General features: G+C 41.9%; 1 long non-coding RNA gene across 6 annotated transcripts in view; it reads left to right on the forward strand.

Moving 5' to 3' along the window:
• Positions 1–18,955, forward strand: part of APRG1 (APRG1 tumor suppressor candidate) — a 54,421-nt gene that overhangs the window by 16,802 nt on the left and 18,664 nt on the right. For 4 of the 6 annotated variants that reach the window (NR_171173.1, NR_126512.1, NR_126514.1 and 1 more), the window contains 3 exons: positions 1,599–1,781; positions 13,260–13,431; positions 18,676–18,846. This is a non-coding gene — a long non-coding RNA (APRG1 tumor suppressor candidate). Of the gene's footprint in view, positions 1–1,598; positions 1,782–13,259; positions 13,432–18,675; positions 18,906–18,955 lie in introns of those variants that run through there. The other 2 variants (NR_126515.1, NR_171174.1) reach the window with 2 other exon arrangements.

Here is an 18,955-nt window from a genome sequence, read left to right on the forward strand (position 1 = left end):
TAATGCATCCTTGAACTCCTGGGCTCAAGCGATCCTCCTGCCTTAGTCTCCTGAGTAGTGAGGACTACAGGTGCATGCCACCACACCCAGTTACATTTTAAATTTTTTTTGTAGAAATAGAGTCTCTTTATGTTGCCCAGGCTGGTCTTAAACTCCTGGTATAAAGCAATCCTCCTGCCTTGGTCTCCCAAAGTGCTGGGATTATAGGCATGAGCCACTGTACTTGGCCTTAATTTAATCTTAATTACCTTGATAAGGCCCTATCTCCAAATACAGTCACATTGGGAGCTAGGACCTCAACATAAAAATTTGGTGAGGGCACAATTCCATCTGAAACGGATGTCCAGTGGGCACCTTGTCTTCTTGGTGAATGGCAGTTCCCTCCTTCTAGGTGCTCAGGCTGAAATCCTAGACGCCCCTCTTTCTCGCTTGCTGCACATTTCAATCCACCAGCAAATCCTGTTGTCTCTGCTTTAAAAATGTACGTGGATTCTAACTGCTGCTTTCTGCTTTCACTGCCATCACCCTGATCCAAACCATCATCATTTTAAAACTGTATTAAGAAAATGGCCTCTTGCACTGTCTCCTGTTTCTGCCTTTGGCCTTTAAAATCTTTTATCAATGTGCCAGTAAGAGTAATCCTTCTAAAACAGAAGTCAGGCCATGCCACTTTCTGTTCAACCCCCTGCCACAGGAGATCCCATCTCATTCTTTTAGTGACCAGAAAAGCCCTGTAGGACACTTCTCTGATTGCCTAGCATTTTGCGGCTTGCTCCCACTACTCAGCCACACTACTCTCCTTGCAGTACCTTGAGGCACGTTCTTACCTCAGGGCCTTTGCATTTGCTGTTCCCTCCAGCTGAAATGCTCTTGCACTGGATATTATGTGTTGTGTTTCCATCATCTTTGTCAGATATCTGCTCAAATATGACATTTTCAGCCAGGCGTGGTGGGTCATGCCTGTAATCCGAGCACTTTGGGAGGCCGAGGCGGGTGGATCACCTGAGGTCAGGAGTTTGAGACCAGCCTGGACGTGGCAAAACCCCGTCTCTACTAAAAATACAAAAATTAGCCAGGCATGGTGGCAGGCACCTGCGATCCCAGCTACTCGGGAGGCTAAGGCAGAAGAATCGTTTGAATCCGGGAGGCAGAAGTTGCAGTGAGCTGAGATCATGCCACTGTACACCAGCCTGGGCAACAGAGCGAGACTCCATCTCAAAAAAAAAAAAAAAATGACATTTTCAGAGAGGTGCTCTTTGACTATCTTACAAAAAATAGTGCTCCCACTCTTGCTGTGCAAACTCAATTTCCTGTATCCTACTCTACGTATTTTCGAAGCAGTCATCGCCATATGGTATACTCTCTCTAGATTATTTTCTTGGGCATTTGCCTATTGTCACCTTTTCTTCTCACTAGCATGTGGCTCCATGAGGGCAAATACTTAATCTGTTATGTTCACTGGGGCATCTCCAGAACTTGCCTGAAACCCAGTAGGTGTTCAATAAGTTCTGGAGGGATGAATGAATGACTCCTCTCACTGTAAGGAAGTTTGGGATATGTAGTCTATCTGGGCACATTTCTATCTGTTCTCTTTGCAGGGGAGAAAGGGATGAGGATGTTGGATAAGCAGCTCAGCATGTTCCCCAACATGTAAGGGAATCAGGTCGAGTTCTACACTCTCCTTCTTGGTACACATCCTCAGAATGCAGGAAGTGCCTGTGCTTGCTGTGAGTCTTTGTGGACAGAGGCAGGATCATGCTGGCTAGAATCTAGTGGACAAGGTAAGGAAACATAAGCATTGAAGAGGGGTAAACATTTGTTGTATGAGGTTATGGGAGGTCCTGTCTCAAGAAAGAGGGTCGCACAGACCCCTGGGAAGACTGGGCTTTGTGCACTGGAGCTGGTGGGTAGAGATATGGGGATCATAGGCCTGATTTCCGGAGTGTGGCATGGAATTGTGCTGGGTGTGTATCTTAGTCTATTTTGTGCTGCTATAACAGAATAGCTGAGATTAGGTAATTTATAATGAACAGAAATTTATTTTTTATGGTCCTGGAGTCTAAGTCCAGAATCAAGGTTTGGCATCTTGTGAGGCCTTCTTGCTGCATCATTACATGGCAGAAGGTGAGAGGGAAAGAGGTAAAGTGCACACAAGAGAGAGAAGAACAAATGTGTTCCTCTATAGTGAACCCATTCCCATGATAATTAACATACTTCCACAATCATGGCATTAATTCATTCATGAAGTCAGAGTCATCATGGCCTAATTACCTCTCCAGAGACCCATCTCTTAGTACTGTTACAATGGCAATTAAATTTCAACATGAGTTTTGGAGGGAACATTCAAACCATAGCAGCGTGCCGTTCTTCATGTTCACCTCTGAGCATACTCCCGCCCTTGCTGTTTCTGTCCTTGAGGCTTTGCCTTTCATCCCCAAGCCTGGCCTCAGCCCATACTCTATTGTACCAATGCCAAAAATTGAGGTTTAAAGTCTCACTGAGTAATTCTTAACCAAAGATATATTGTAAACCAATAGTCACTGAATTCTACTTGCTCACCTGTGGATATTAGTTGGGTATGTAAGTTAGTGTTTGCTGCTTAAAATAGCAACTGTTTATGGGCTCACAATTCTGTGGGTTTGCAATTTGGACTGGGATCAGTGGGGTGGTTCTTCTGCTCTCAGTTGGGCTCACACATTCAACTGCAGCCAACTTCTGTTTTGGCTGAGGCTGGCTGGTCTAGGGCTAGGATGGCTTATCTCTACTTTGTGTGGTCCCTCATAGTTGGCAGGCTAGCACAGGCTTGCTTACATGGCAGCCCCACAGGGCTCTGAGGGAGCAAATAAGAGCATGCATGGCTTATTGAGGCCTAAGCTCAGATCCCAAACTCCATCACATCTATTACATTCTGTTGGTCAAAGCAAGTCGTCACAAGGGCTAGTGTATGAACCTCACAACTATGAATGAGAAAGGAGAGAGATATTTCTTCATCCAGGGGCCTGTTTTTTATAGGCCCTCAGTCTGCTCCTCTCATTCCCAGCAGTAGTGGGTTCTATGGAGACCTCTGTCTTCTGCCCTTGGACTAGACAGCTGTGTCTGTGAGCTCTGTGACCATTTTTTTCAGACAGGCTTTATAGAAGCTCTCAGAGACATGTTTTTGCTTAAGAGCCTTTTGATTTTCTTGGTCAGTTGTCATAGCTGGAGCTTTTTGGCAAGGCTTCAGCCATTCATATGTAATCCTGTGCACTGATTAATGGAGGTGGTTTCACTTTTATTGTCCCTCTATGGCAGCCTGTCTCCCCAGTGGCTGGGACAGAAGCTGCTCACAGGTCTGTGGCTATTGATGGTCAGAGCCAGAGACCTGCTGTGCTCATTCTGGGACGTGGTGGGGATGGAGGTATGGGTCACATCCTGCTCTATGACCTTGGCCAACAGTTTTAACTTTTTCTAACTGCCTCCCAAAGTGTCATTTCCCTCATATTTATAAATTATATGATAAGACTCCCTTTTGCTATCGTCAGTTTGTCCCGCTACTGGACCATCAGCATACAAACATGCTATCATTGTTCCTATCATAAAATGTTGATCTTCTCTTGACTCCATGTCTCTTTTCCCACTACTCTTCAGTGATGAACTCTTTAAAAATATAACTATACTCACTATCCCAATATGTAGGCTTCCATTTCCCCTTAAAGCCTCTCTGATCAGGACTCTTCCTCACCTCCTCTGAAACTTCTCTTGGCAAGGTCAGTTGCTAAGGCCAGTGGTGATTCTCTGTCCCTATCTGATTCTGCACAGGTGGTCATTTTCTCCTTGAGAAACTTTCCGCTCACTTGGCCCTCTCCTCCCTTCTTGCTGGCTGGTTCATCCTCATTTCCCTGACCACTGAATATTGGAGGGCCCCAAGGTTCAGGCTCCAGGCCTTTCCTCTTATGTATGTCTCCTTGGTGATCTCATCCTGCTTCATGGGTTTAAACACCAGCTGTATGCCAATGACTCTCATAATTATGTCTCCAATTTAGACCCTTTCTGGTCGTCAGACTCACAAAACCAAGGGATTGTTCAACATCTCCGATTGGATGGATGCGTAACTGGCATCTTGAGTTTAGCATGTTCAAGTCTGAATCCCGGTGTGCCCCCAACCTGCTCCTCTCACTGTTGCCCCCATGTTGGTTAAAGGCAAGGTCATCTTGCAAGTTCTTGCCTGCAATCCTCTCTCTCTCTCTCTCTCTCTGTGTATACACACACACACACACACACACACACACACACACATATAACTTTTTTCTTACACAAAAGTTGGCATACTATTTGCATTGTTCTGTATCTTGCTTTTCTCACTTAACAATATATTCAGGAGGTCACTTCAGTTCAGAGAGATCTTCCTCATTCTTTTTACAGCTGCATCAGTATTTCATTATATAAATGTACTATAATGTATTCAACCAACCAGAGTAATACTTTCATACTTGATGAACATTTGAGTTGTTTCCAGTCTTTTGATATTACAAATAAGGCTGCAATTAATGTCCTTGTATATATGTTGTTTTGTACTTTGGAAGGATGTCTTCAGGGCAGGTTCCCGGAATTGTGATTGGAGGAAGCTGTCAAAGGAATCTGAGCAGTTGCACAAGGTTTGTGTCCCAATGCAGCTGCAAGGGAGGGCATATTCTCCAATGCTCAATTTAGATATGGTGAGAAAGCATAAGGAGAAGGAAGAATCTCCCAGAGCACAGGGCCAAGAGCCTAAAAACAATACTCAGGAAGCACCCCCACCCCACAGGCCACCACCCAGGGAGCAGATCTGGACCTAATCATGAAACAGTTCCCATCTCTAGGGTGGGAAAGCCTTGCAATAGCTGCTTATCAGGATTTCCAAATTGCTAGAGTAGTGCCTGTTCTGTTTTTATTTTTCCCTTTTGGAATTGGCCTCTTGGCTCTTTTGAGTTCAACTATATCTTTATTGATTTTTCTATCTGCTGTATCTGTCAATGTGTAATAGAGGGGTATTGAAGTCTCCAACTATAATAGTGGATTCATCTATTTTTCCTTGCAGTTCTATCAGTTTCTGCCATGTGTATTTTGATGCTCTGTTGTTAGTTGTATACACGTTAAGAAATGTTATGGCTGCTTATAGGATTGACCCCTTTATTATTATGTAACCGTCCTCTTTATTCTTGATAATTTTCATTGCTTTGAAGTCTGCTATGTCTGAAATTAATATAACTACTCCAGCTTTTTTAAAAATTTTCAATTTTGTGGGTACATAGTAGGTATATATATTTATAGGGTACATGAGATATTTTGATACAGGCATACCATGTGTAATAATCACATAAGGGTAAATGTATCCATCACCTCAAGCATTTATTCTGTCTTTGTGTTACAAACAATCCAATTACATTCTTTTAGTTATTTAAAAATGTACAATACATTATTGTTGACTGTAGTCACCCTGTTGTGCTATCAGATAGTAGCTTATTCTTTCTATTTAATTATATTTTGTACCCATTACCCATCCCCTCTCCTATTTCTCCCACTATCCTTCCCAGCCTCTGGTAACCGTCATTCTACTTTCTATCTCTATGAATTGGATTGTTTTAATTTTTAGCTCCCACAAATAAGTGAGACCATGTGAAGTTTGTCTTTCTGTGCCTGGCCTACTTAACATAATGACCTCCAGTTCTATCCATGTTGTTACAAATGACAGGGTCTCCTTCTTTTGTTATGGCCGAATAGTACTCCATTATGTATAAGTACCACATCTTCCTTATCCATTTGTCTGTTGATGGACACTTAGGTTGCTTCCAAATCTCAGCTATTGTGAATAGTGCTGCAATAAATGGGAATGCAAATATCTCTTTGATACACTGATTTCTTCGTATTTTGGGTATATACCCAGCAGGGGGATTGCTGGATTACATGATAGTTCTATTTTTAGTTTTTTGGGGAACCTCCAAACAGTTCTCCATAGTGGTTGTACTAATTTACATTCCCATCATCAGTGTGTGATGGTTCCCTTTTCTTCACATGCTCACCAGCATTCATGATTGCCTATCTTTTGCATAAAAGCCATTTTAGCTGTGATGAGATGATATCTTATTATAATTTTGATTTGCATTTCTCTAATGATCAGTGATACTGAGCACCTTTTCATATACCTATTTGCTATTTGTATGTCTTCCTTTGAGAAATGTCTGTTCAGATGTTTTGGCCATTTTTAATTGGATTATTAGATTTTTTCCTATAAAGTTGTTTGAGCTCCTCATATATTCTGGTTATTAATCCCTTGTCAAATGGATAGTTTGTATATATTTTCTCCTATTCTGTGGGTTGTCTTTTCACTTTGTTGACTGTTTGCTTCATTCTGCAGATGCTTTTTAACTTGATGTGATCCCATTTGTCCATTTTTTACTTTGCTTGCCTGTGCTTGTGGAGTATGACTTAAGAAATCTTTGTCCGGCCTAATGTCGTGGAGAGTTTCCCCAATGTTTCCTTTCTACACTTCCATAGTTTGAGGATATACACACATACACACACACACACACACACATATGTATATATATATATATATATATATATATATATATTATTTTATTTTATTTTTGAGATGGTCTCTCATTCTGTCACCCAGGATGGAGTGCAGTGGCACGATCTTGGCTCATTGCAACCTCTGCCTCCCAGGTTCAAGCGATTCTGCTGCCTCAGCTTTCCAAGTAGCTGGGATTACGGATGCTTGCCACCACGCCCAGCTAGTTTTTGTATTTTTAGTAGAGACAGGGTTTCACCATGTTTCCCAAGCTGGTCTCAAACTCCTGACCTCAAATGATCTGCCTGCCTTGGCCTCCCAAAGTACTGGAATTACAGGCATGAGACATCATGCCCAGCCTGACGTCTTAGATTTAAGTCTTCAATCTATTTTAATTTTATTTTTGTATATGGTGAGAGATAGGGGTCTAGTTTTATTCTTCAGCATACGGATATCCAGTTTTCCCAGCACTATTTATTGAAGAGACTTTTTTCCCCCAATGTATGTTCTTGGCACTTTTGTAAAAAATGAGTTTACTGCAGATGTAGATTTGTTGCTGGCTGGTTCATCCTCATTTCCCTGACCACTGAATATTGGAGGGCCCTAAGATTCAGGCTCCAGGCCTTTCCTCTTTCTCATGTATGTCTCCTTGGTGATCTCATCCTGCCTGTTGGTTCCATTGGTCTATGTGTCTGTTTTTATGCCAGTACCATGCTGTACTATATACTGTGTAGTATAATTTGAAGTCAAGTAATGTGATTCTTCAGTTTTGTCCTTTTTGCTCAATATAGCTTGGCTATTCTGGATCTTTTGTGGTTACATATAATTTTAGCATTTTTTTTCTAATTTTAATTAAAAAAATTTTTTTTGTATAGATGTGGTCTCACCATCTTGCCCTGGCTGGTTTGAAACTCTTGGGCTCAGACAGTCCACCTACCTTGGCTTCTTAAAGTACTGGGATTATAGGCATGAGCCACCTTGCCCAGCCTGTTTTTTCTATCTCTGTGAAAAATGTCATTGGTATTTTGATAGGGATTACGTTGAATCTACAGACTGCTTTGGGCAATATGAACATTTTCACAATATTGATTCTTTTAGTTCATGAACGTGAAATATCTTTCCATTTTTTGGTGTCTTCCTCAATTTCTTTCATGAGTGTTTTATAGTTTTCATTGTAGAGGTCATTCACTTCTTTGGTTAAGTTAATTCCTAGGTATTTAATTTTATTTGTAGCTATTATAAGTGGGATTACTTTCTTGATTTCTTTTTCAGATTATCTGCTGTTGGCATATAGAAATGCTACTGATTTTTGTATGTTGATTTTGTATCCTGCAACTTTACTGAATTTATCAGTTCTAATAGTTTTTTGGTGGATTCTTTATGTTTTTCCAAATATAAGATCATACCATCTATGAACAATGATAATTTGACTTCTTCCTTTCCTTTTTTTTTTTTGAGACAGAGTCTTGCTCTGTCACCCAGGCTGGAGTGCAGTGGCATGATCTTGGCTCACTGCATTCAAGCGATTCTCCAGCCTCAGCCATCTGAGTAGCTGGTATTTCAGGCTTCCACCACCATGCCCAGCTAATTTTTGTATTTTTAGTAGAGATGGGTTTTCACCATGTTGGCCAGGCTGGTCTCAAACTCCTGACCTCAAGTGATCTGCCTGCCTCAGCCTCCCAAAGTGCCGGGATTACAGGTGTGAGCCACCATGCCCGGCCTTCTTTTCCAATTTGGATGCCCATTCTTTCTCTTGTCTGATTGCTCTAGCTAGGATTTCCAGAACTATGTTGAATAACAGTGGTGAAAGTGGACATTCTTGTTGTGTTCCAGATCTTAGAGGAAAGGCTTTCCATTTTTCCCCATTTGGTATGATACTAGCTGTGGATCTGTCATATATAGCTTTTATTTGTTGAGGTATGTTCCTTCTATGCCCAGTTTTTTTGAGAGATTTTATCATGAAGGAATATTGAATTTCATAAAGTGCTTTTTCAGCATCAATTGAAACAATCATATGGGGTTTCCTTTATTCTGTTGATATAATGTATTGCATTAATTTATTTGCATATCTTGTACCATCCTTGCCTATTTGGTCATGATGAATGATCAGTGATGAATTTAATGTGTTGTTGAATTCAGTTTGCTAGTATTTTGTTGAAGATTTTTGCATCCTTGTTCATTGGGGATATTAGCTTGTAGTTTTCTTTTTTTGATGTGTCTTTTTCTGGTTTGGTATCAGGTTAATACTGGCTTCATAGAATGAGTTTGTAAGTATTCCCTCCTTCTCTATTTTTCAGAATGGTTTGAGTAGAATTGGTATTAGTTTTCTTTAAATATTTGATAAACTTCAGTAGGGAAGCCATTGGGTCCCTGGCTTTCCCTGGCTGGGAGACTTTTTAAATTTTCTTCTTAATTTCTTCATTGATCCACTGGTCATTCAAGAGAATATTGTTTAATTTTCATGTGTTTGTATAGTTTCCAAAATAACTCTTGTTATTATTTCTAGTTTTATTCCATTGTGGTCTGGGAAGATTCTTTTTTTTTTTTAATTTTAAAGGCTTGTTTTGTGGTCTAGTATATGGTCTATCCTTGAGAATAATTTATGTACTGAGGAGAAGAATGAGCATTCTGCACCCATTGGAGGAAATGTTCTGTAAATATGCATTAGGTCCATTTGGTCTATAGTGCAGATGAAGTCCAGTGTTTCCTTGGTGATTTTCTGTCTGATGATCTGTACAGTGCTGAAAGTGGGGTGTTGAAGTCTCCAGCTATTTTTGTATTGAGGTGTATCTCTCTCTTTAGCTTTAATATTTGCTGTATATATCTGGGCGCTCCAGTGTTGGGTGCATATATGTTTACAATTGTTATATCCTCTTGCTGAATTGACCCCTTTATTATTATATAATAACCTTCCTTGTCTCTTTTTATAGCTTTTGTCTTGAAATCTTTTTTTTTTTTTTTTTTAGATGAGGTCTTGCTCTGTCACCCAGACTGGAGTGCAGTGGTGCCCTCTTGGCTCACTGCAACCTCTGCCTCCTGGGTTCAAGTGATTCTCCTGCCTCAGCCTCCCAAGTAGCTGTGACTACAGGAATGTGCCATCATGCCTGGCTAATTTTTGTATTTTTAGTAGAGATGGGGTTTTGCCATGCTGGTGAGGCTGGTCTCAAACTCCTGACCTCAGGTGATCCACCCACCTTGGCCACCCAAAATGCTTGGGATCACAGTCATGATCCACTGTGCCTGGCCAGTTTTTCTCTTGAAATCTATGTTGTCTGATATAAGTGTAGCTACTCCTGCTGTCTTTTCATTTCCATTGGTGTGGAGTATCTTTTTCCATCCCTTTATTTTCAGTGTATGTGAGTCTTTATAGGTGAAATGTGTTTCTTGTAAGCAATAGATCTTGTTTTTTTCTTTTTTTTAAATTCATTCAGCCACTCTCTCTTTTGATTGGAGAGTTTAGCCCATTTACATTCAGTGTGATTATTGGTAGGTAAGGACTTACTCCTGCCATTTTGTTACTTGTTTTCTGGTTGTTTTGTGGTCTTCTTTTCCTTCTTTCCTTGATTCTGTCTTCCTTTAAGTGAAGGTGACTTTCTCTGGTGATATGTTTAATTTCTTGCTTTTGTATATGTGGTATGTTTTTTGATTTGATACCATGAGGCTTGCAAATAATATCTTATAACCTATTATTTTAACCTGATGACAACTTAACACTGATTTCATAAACAAGGAAACAAACTAACAAACAAGCAAAGAGAAAACTAATAAAAACTCAGCAGTTTTATCTTCATCCCCCTACTTTTTAAATTTTTGTTGTTTCTATTTATATCTTATTGTGCTGTCTAGGTCTTGAAAAGTCATTGTAGTTATTATTTTTGATTGGCTCATTGTTTAGTCTTTCTACTCAAGATGTAAGTAGTTTACCCATCACAATTACAGTGTTATAATATTCTTTTCTTTTCTGTTTTTTGAGATGGAGTCTTGCTCTGTTGCCCAGGCTGGAGTGTAGTGGCATGATCTTGGCTCACTGCAACTTCCATCTCCCAGATTCAAGCAATTCTCCTGCCTCAGCCTCCCAAGTAGCTGGGACTACAGGCACATGCCACCACATCTGGCTAATTTTATATTTTTAGTAGAGTTGGGGTTTTGCCATGTTGGCCAGGTTGGTCTCAAACTCCTGACCTCAAGTGATTCACCTGCCTTGGCCTCCCAAAGTGCTAGGATTACAGGTGTGAGCCACCGCACCTGGCCTATTCTGTGCTTTTCTATGTAGTTACTACTCTCAGTGAGTTTTGTACCTTCAGCTGATTTCTTATTGCTTATTAACATTCTTTTCTTTCAGATTGAAGAACTCCCTTTAGCATTTCTTGTAGAACAGGTCTGGTGTTGATGAAATCCCTCAGTTTTTGTTTGTCTGGGAAATTATTTCTCCTTTATGTTTGAAGGATACTTTCACTGGATACACTATTTTGAGAGAAAAGTTTTTTCCATCCACACTTTAAATATGTCACGTCACTCTCTTCTGGCCTGTAAGATTTCCACTGAGAAGTCTGCTGCCAGACATATTGGAGCTCCATTGTATGGTTTTTTTTGTTTTGTTTTGTTTTTTTTTTTTTTGGAGATGGAGTCTTGCTCTGTCGCCCAGGCTGGAGTGCAGTGGTGCAATCTTGGCTCACTGCAAGCTTCACCTCCTGGGTTCACGCCATTCTCCTGCCTCAGCCTCCTGAGTAGCTGGGACTACAGTCGCCTGCCACCATGCCTGGCTAATTTTTTGTATTTTTAGTAGAGATGGTTAGTGTTAGCCAGGATGGTCTCGATCTCCTGACTTTGTGATCCACCCGCCTCAGCCTCCCAAAGTGCTGGGATTACAGGTGTGAGCCACTGCGCCTAGCCTTGTTTTTTTTTGAGATGGAGTTTCACTCTGTCGCCCAGGCTGGAGTGAGGTGGCATGATCTCGGCTCACAGCAACCTCCGCCCCTAGGGTTCAAGCGATTCTCCTGTCTCAGCCTCCCGAGTAGCTGGGATTACGGGTGCCCGCCACCACTGCCAGCTAATTTTTGTGTTTTTAGTGGAGATGGGGTTTCACCATGTTGGCCAGGCTGGTCTAGAACTCCTGACCTCAAGTGATCCACCTGCCTCAGCCTCCCAGTGTGCTGGGATTACAGGCGTGAGCCGCAGTGCCCAGCCTCCATTGTATGTTATTTCTTTTTTATTTATTGCTGCTTTTAGAATCCTTTCTTTCTCCTTGACCTTTTGGAGTTTGATTATTAAATGTCTTGAGGTAGTCTTATTTGGATTAAATCTGCTTGGTGTTCTGTAACATTCTTGTACTTGAATATTGGTATCTTTCTCTAGGTTTGGGAAGTTCTCTGTTATTATCCCCTTGAATAAACTTTCTATCCCTATCTCTCCCTCTCTACTGCCTCTTTAAGGCCAATAAATCTTAGATTTGCCTTTTGGAGGCTATTTTCTAGATCTTCTAAGCATGCTTCATTCTTTTTTATTATTTTTTACTTTGTCTCCTGTAACTGTGCATTTTTAAATAGCCTGTCTTCAAGCTCATTAATTCTTTCTTCTGCTTGATCAATTCTGCTGTTAAGAGACTCTGATAGGCTGGGTACTGTGGCTCATATCTGTAATCCCAGCACTTTGGGAAGCCAAGGCAGGTAGATCACTTGAATTTATGAGTTCAAGACCAGCCTGGGCAACATGGTGAAATCCTGTCTCTACCAAAAATACAAAAAATTAACCAAGCATAGTGGTGTGTGCCTGTGGTCCCAACTATTCAGGAGGCTGAAGTGGGAGGGTCACTTGATCCCAGGAGGTAAAGGTTGCAGTGAGCCAAGATTGCACCACTGCATTCCAACCTGGGTGACAGAATGAGACCCCATCTCAAAAAAAAAAAAAAAAAAGAGAGACTCTGATATATTATTCTTCAGTATGTTCCTTGCCCTTTTTAACTCTAGAATTTCTGCTTGATTCTTTTTAATTATTTCAATTTCTTTGTTAACTTTATCTGATAGGATTTTGAATTCCTTTCCTGTGTTATTTTGAATTTCATTGAGTTTACTCAAAAATTCTAAATTCTCTTGTCTGAAAGGTCACATATTTCTGTCTCTTCTTGATTGGTCACTGGTGCCTTATTTAGCTCAATTGGTGAAGTAATGTTTTCTTGGATGGTCTTGATGCTTGTGGAGTTTGTTGGTATCTGGGCATTGAAGAGTTGGGTATTTATTGTAGTCTTCGAAATCTAGGCTTGTTTGTACTCATCCTTCTTCAGAAGACTTTCCAGGTATTCAGAGGGACTTGGGCATTGTGATCTAAATTTTTGGTCATAGCAGCCATATCTGTATGAGGGGGCACCCCAAGCCCAGTAATGCTGTGGCTTTTGCAGACTTGTAGAGGTACTGCCTTGGTGTTCTTAGATAAGATCTGGAAAGATTCACTGGATTACCAGGCAGAGACTCTTGTTCTCTTCCATTACTTTCTCCCAAACAAATGGAGTCTCTCTCTGCTGAGCTGCCTGGAGCTGGGGGTGGGGTGACATATGCACCCCTATGATTACAACTACTGGGACTATGCTGGTCAGGCCTGAAGCCAGCTCAGCAATGGGTCTCAATCAAGGCCCTCAGTAACCTCTGCCTGGCTGCCACCTATGTTTGTGCAAGGCCCTAAGGGCTCTACCATTAGCAGGTGGCAAAGCCAGCCAGGCTTGCGTTCTTCTCTGCAGGGCAGCACATTCCCCCTGTTCCCAGGTGGGTCCAGAGATGTCGCCTGGGAGCCAGGGCCTGGAGTTCTGTTACTGTGGCTGAGCTTGCACCCAAGCTACAAGATGACATCCTACTCTTCCCTCACCTTTCTACAAGTAGAGGAGTCTCTTCTCATGGCCACCATTGTCCCAGGTGAGTACTGCCTGGCTACCCCTGATATTCACTCAAGACCCAAGGGCTCTTCAGTCAGCTTGTAGTGAATGCTTCTAGACCTAGGACTCTCCCTTCAGGGCAGTGGTCTCCCCTCTGGCCCAGAGCAGGTCCAGAAATATCATCCAAAAGCCAAGGCCTGGAATCAGGAACCCCATGAGCCTACCTGGTGCTCTACCAAACTGTGGCCAAAGTGGTATGTAAGCTGCAAACAAAGTCCCCTTTATTCTTACCTCTCCTTTTCTCAAGCAGAAGGAATCTCTCCCCATAGCCGCTATAGTTTCAAATGTGCTGGGTTATACCTGAAGCCAGCACATCTCTGAGTCTCACCTTAAGGCCCATGGTGAGTACTGCCTGGCTGCCACTGGTGATTTTTCAGACCCCAAGGGCTTTTTATTCAGCAGGTGATGAGAGATGCCAGGACTGGGTCCTTCCCTTCAAGGCAGTGGGTTTCCTTCTGGTCCAGGGAGTATCTAGGAATATTATCCAGGAGCTAGGGCCTGGAATGGGAGCCTCAGGGAATGGGAACTCTGCCTGTGCCCTATCCTGCTGTGGCTACGCTGGCATCCACACTGCAAGGCAAAGTCCTCTTTATTCTTCTCTCTCTGCTCCTAAAGCAGAAGGAAGGAGTCTTTCCCAGAGCTGCCAGCTATACTACCTGTGGTTGAGGGAGGGTTGGCGTAAGCACTCCCTTGGACACCCTTAGCTAGTGTTTCACTGCGTCATGTGGCCCCCAACTGCTCTGCCTCCAAGTCCAAGACAGCACCAGGACGTGCCTAGAAATTGCAGGCCTTGTGGTGTAGACTGCCTCTCAAGTTTATTTAGAATCACAGAGCACTTTAGCCCATGGTGGCAAGACTTGCCAGAACCCAAGTTCTGACTGCTGGGATGGGTGATTCCCCTCTGGCTGGGGCTGGTCTAAATGCTCCCTCTGTGGTCGCTGCCTGAGTTCTGCCTGGTGTTGTTTTCTGCTGTGACAGGCAAGCACTGATTTCCAATGCAAAGTCCCACAATCACTGTGCTGTTCCTTCCTCAAGTGCAGATTATCTCTCCATACCTCGTGGCTGGAGCTGAGAATGGGGGATGAATGGCATAGCCAACTCAAGACTGTCTTTTCTACTGTCTTCAGTGTCTCTTTCAGTGATATGAAGTTAAAACCAGGTACTATAATCACTCACCTGGTTTTTGGTTCTTATGGAGGTGCATTTTTTTTGTATGTGGATAGTTGTTCAATTTTATATTCTTGCGTTGAGGACAATTGGTGGAGGCTTCTATTTGGCCATCTTGCTCCACCTCCTTGCTATTATTATTTTGAACAAACTGTTATCTGTCAGATCAATTCAGAATAAGAAAAATAGGCCAGGCGCGGTGGCTCACACCTGTAATCCCAGCACTTTGGGAGGCTGAGGCGGGTGGATCACAAGGTCAGGAGTTCGAGACCAGCCTGGCCAATATGGTGAAACCCTGTCTCTACTAAAAATAAAAAAATTAGCCAGGCGTGGTGGCGTGCACCTGTAGTCCCAGCTACTTGGGAGGCTGAGGCAGAAGAATCACTTGAACCTGGGAGGCGGAGGTTGCAGTGAGCCAAGATTGCACCACTGCACTGCAGCCTGGGCAACAGAGCGAGACTCTGTCTAAAAAAAAGAAAAAGAAAAAGAAAACTTTGTATTTTACCTTCACTTATTCCTTCTCTAATGCCCTTCCTTTCTTTATGAAGATCTGAATTTCTGACCTATATTATTTTCTTCTGTCAGAAGAGCTTCTTTTAAAATTTCTTGCAAGGTAGGTCTACTGGTAACAAACTCTCTCAATTTTTGTTTTAGAAAGTCTTTGAGTCTTTATTTGTCTTTCTTTTTTCTTTTTTTGGACTTAAAATCCAAGTACAAATGTTCTTCAGTCATTTATTAAATTTCAAAGCCAAGTCACTAAAGACAGAGGCTAGCAATTTTCTTTCATCATTCACCAATAACAGACTATGTCTGGGGTCAGTGGCCTTCATCAGCAGGTGCCCTCCTTTGGTGAATGAATCTGATCATTCAGATGTGGAGAGAATGAAGTGTCTTCTTCAGTTTCAGACCCCGAAGGCTCTTGATCTCCCTCTTGGGGTTCTGTTTCTCCCATCAGTTCTTGCAGAAACTTGAATTTAGATTTTAAAAAGATGCCATACAAAATACGATGGATGCCCCACTCATCACATACCATCAGCAGCAGGATGATCAACAGTGTAGCCATGAACACAAGCAGGTTAGCCCAATATTGTGCTACATCTTGAGGGGAGGAGGGTAGTTGGCTCAGGGCACCTGGCATGTACTGTGGAGGGAATGGGTGAGTAGGCAGATGGTGTATCCCAGGCTTCAGTGGTGGGTGCCCTGCTGGCATGCAGGGCACCCCTTGTCCTTCACTTTTTAGAAAAAGATTAAAAAAAATATACATAAATGTACATATTTTGGGGATATATGTGATAATTTAATACATTCATATAATTTGTAATGATCAAATCAGTCTAATTAAGACATTTGTCATCTTAAATATTTGTTTTGTCTGTATGCTAGAAGCACTTATTCTCTCTAGCAATTTTTTTAAAAAATTAAACATTTTTTTATAGATGGTGTCTCACTCTGTCACCCAGGTTAGAGTGCAATGGTGGAACATATCTCACTACAGTCTCAAACTCCCAGGTTCAAGTGATCCTCCCACCTAGCCTCCTGAGTAGCTGAGACTACAGGTGCATACCACCATGCCTGGCTACTTTTTACAATTTTTTTTTTTTTTTTTTGTAGAGACAGAGTTTCACTATGTTTCCCAGGCTGGTCTCAAACTCCCAGGCTCAAGCAATCCTTCTGCCTTATCCTCCCAAAATGTTGGGATTACAGGCATGAGCCACCACACCTGGCCTTTTCTAGCTATTTTGAAATATACAATAGATTATTGTAAACTATAGTCACCGTAATTATCTATTAAACATTGGGTCTTATTTCTTTTATCAAAGTGTATATTTGTACCTATTAATCAACCTCTCCCTATTCCCCCTCTCTCCTTCCCAGCCTCTGATAACTACCAATCTACTCTCTATCTTCATGAAATACACTTTTTAAGCTCCCACATATGAGTGAGAGTATGCGATGTTTGTCTGGTTCTAATGCTTATTCTATTTCCTCAAACTGCGTTTTTGCATTTTAGTATGGCTTGTCATGTTTGTTTGTTTGTTTGTTTGTTTGTTTTTTGAAACCCAGATATCATGTCTTGCATGTTGGGTTCAGACAACTTGTCTTTTTAGTTTATAGGTCTCTGGATCAAGATAAATCATAATCGAACCTGATGTGGAGACAAAGTATCCTTCATGGACTTTGAATTTGATATGATTGTTTTTCTCCACTTAGGGAAATGGTGTGTATATTTTGTCAGAATATTTGGTGATCCAGAAGGGTGGACTGTGGTGTTAGTAGGTCTGTCCACAGATTATTTTCAGCTCTCTGCCAACCAGACACTTGGTAAATTGTACCTCCTTCACTTGTGATTGGTGGGTTTTATTTTATTTTTTACTTTTTTTTTTTGAGACAGCGTCTCACTTTGTCGCCTAGGCTAGAGTACAGTGGCACGATCTCAGCTCACTGCAACCTCTGCCTCCTGGGTTCAAGCAATTCTTGTGCCTCAGCCTCCCAAGTAGCTGGTATTATAGACGTGTACCAGCACACCTGGCTAATTTTTGCATTTTTAGTAGAGATGGGGTTTCACCATGTTGGCCAGGCTTGTCTCGAACTCCTTACCGCAGGTGATCCGCCCACCTCAGCCTCCCAAAGTGCTGAGATTATAGGCATGAGCCACTGTGCGTGGCCACATGACCAGTTTTAGACAATGAGTTTTGAGAACTTATAATATGTATAACTTTAGGGCTGAACTTTTACTTGATAAAGTGAGACCTTCTAGAATTCTTTTTTTCTGTCTGCCATGATAACTAGCTATGTTTCTTCAGGTGGTTACTAAATGAATGCATGTGGAGCAATGTTCCAGCTGACCTGCAATGAACATGTGGTTTCAGTGAGAAATATACCTCTGTCATTTAAGCCGTTATTGTCTGGGAGTTGCTTGTTATCTTAGCATAATACAGCCTAACCTGACTGTTAACACAGCTTAATCTTACATCTTCTTTAGGTCTTGACTTACCTCTAATGTTTTCCTCAAGGCCTTAAGATTGCACCCATACCCACCCCATCACTCTATCCCCTTCTCTACTTTATATTCCTCTACAATACCTATCTTAATATAACATCACATAGTTTGCTTGTTTATTTTATTATTCATCTCCTCCTGCCACCAGAATGTAAGCCCATGAAGGCAGCGATGGTCTGAGTTTGAGACCATCTGAAAGCTGACCACTGAAACCTGACCCTTGAGACAGGGGATATGGTGTTGGCTGTTCATTTGGGACATGATCCTGAAGGGTATAAGAAAGGGAACTGGGGGAAAAACCACAGAAGAAAGTAAAATCAATAAAGGAGGCATTAGTAAACTTATTAGTGCTGTGAACAATTTTTGGAGATCCTCTGAGAAGCCCTGTTGAACTGAAATTCTCATACATTTCCTACCTAGAGATAGAAAAACTGGAGTATTGTCCCCAACTCCTGCCCATTGTTGAATGTAGGGAGGCTTAAACCTCTGGTACATCCAGACTGACTTGTGCATGGGCTGAGCAAGCTTGCCCACTGCAGAGAAAGCCTTCTGGCGAAGAAGCAGAGAGCTAGACACGGTTCCTGTGCATAGGAACTGTCCAACACAGTTGCAGGTGTGTCAAGGGGACATGCAGTGGGGGCATCAACAGAATCTACCGTAGAGATTTTTGCTTTTTATTTCCTGATGTGTCCTCAGCTCCTAAATAGTGTTTGACAATTTCTAAATAATGAATGAATGAATGAGTACACTAAAGTGGGCATTTACTGGATGTGTCCCCAGCATCCAGTTCCCTTTTGTAATTAGCCCTTTCCCTTTTTTCCCTTGGGATGCTACCTCTCCCCATTTCTTAGCCTGCGGCTTTGCTTGGGATTGGACCGACGTCTAGTTACTGGGTATGGACTACCTCCCCAGCCCCTACCCCAAAGACTTAATATAATCAACCTTTCTTACTCACCTCCCCTTCCCCACCACGGTGATCTGTTTAGGAATGGACACATGACCCATCTGTGACCAATGAGAGTGAATTTCAGGATTTATTCTCTCTTTCTCTATAAGGATGTGAGGTCTGGAACAGCTGCAGCCATTTTGCCACCATGGGAAACCTGGGACATCTGAACTGACTCCATGAAGCCTGAAGAGAAAGCTAATAAGAAGGCAGAGAGAAGAGGAAGAGTCTTGGTCTTTGGAAATATCTTTTGGAGCTGCTGGATCAAGTATCACTTGAAGGTAGAACTAAATCTGCACTTTAAATTTACATATCCAATAAAAAGTTCTTTATGTTGTAAGCCAGTTTGAGGTGGATTTCCTGTCACTTATGGCTAAGAGAACCCTTGCT

This window comes from Homo sapiens, chromosome 3, assembly GCF_000001405.40.
Source record: "Homo sapiens chromosome 3, GRCh38.p14 Primary Assembly".
In the NCBI taxonomy this organism is placed as follows: Eukaryota; Metazoa; Chordata; class Mammalia; order Primates; family Hominidae; genus Homo; species Homo sapiens.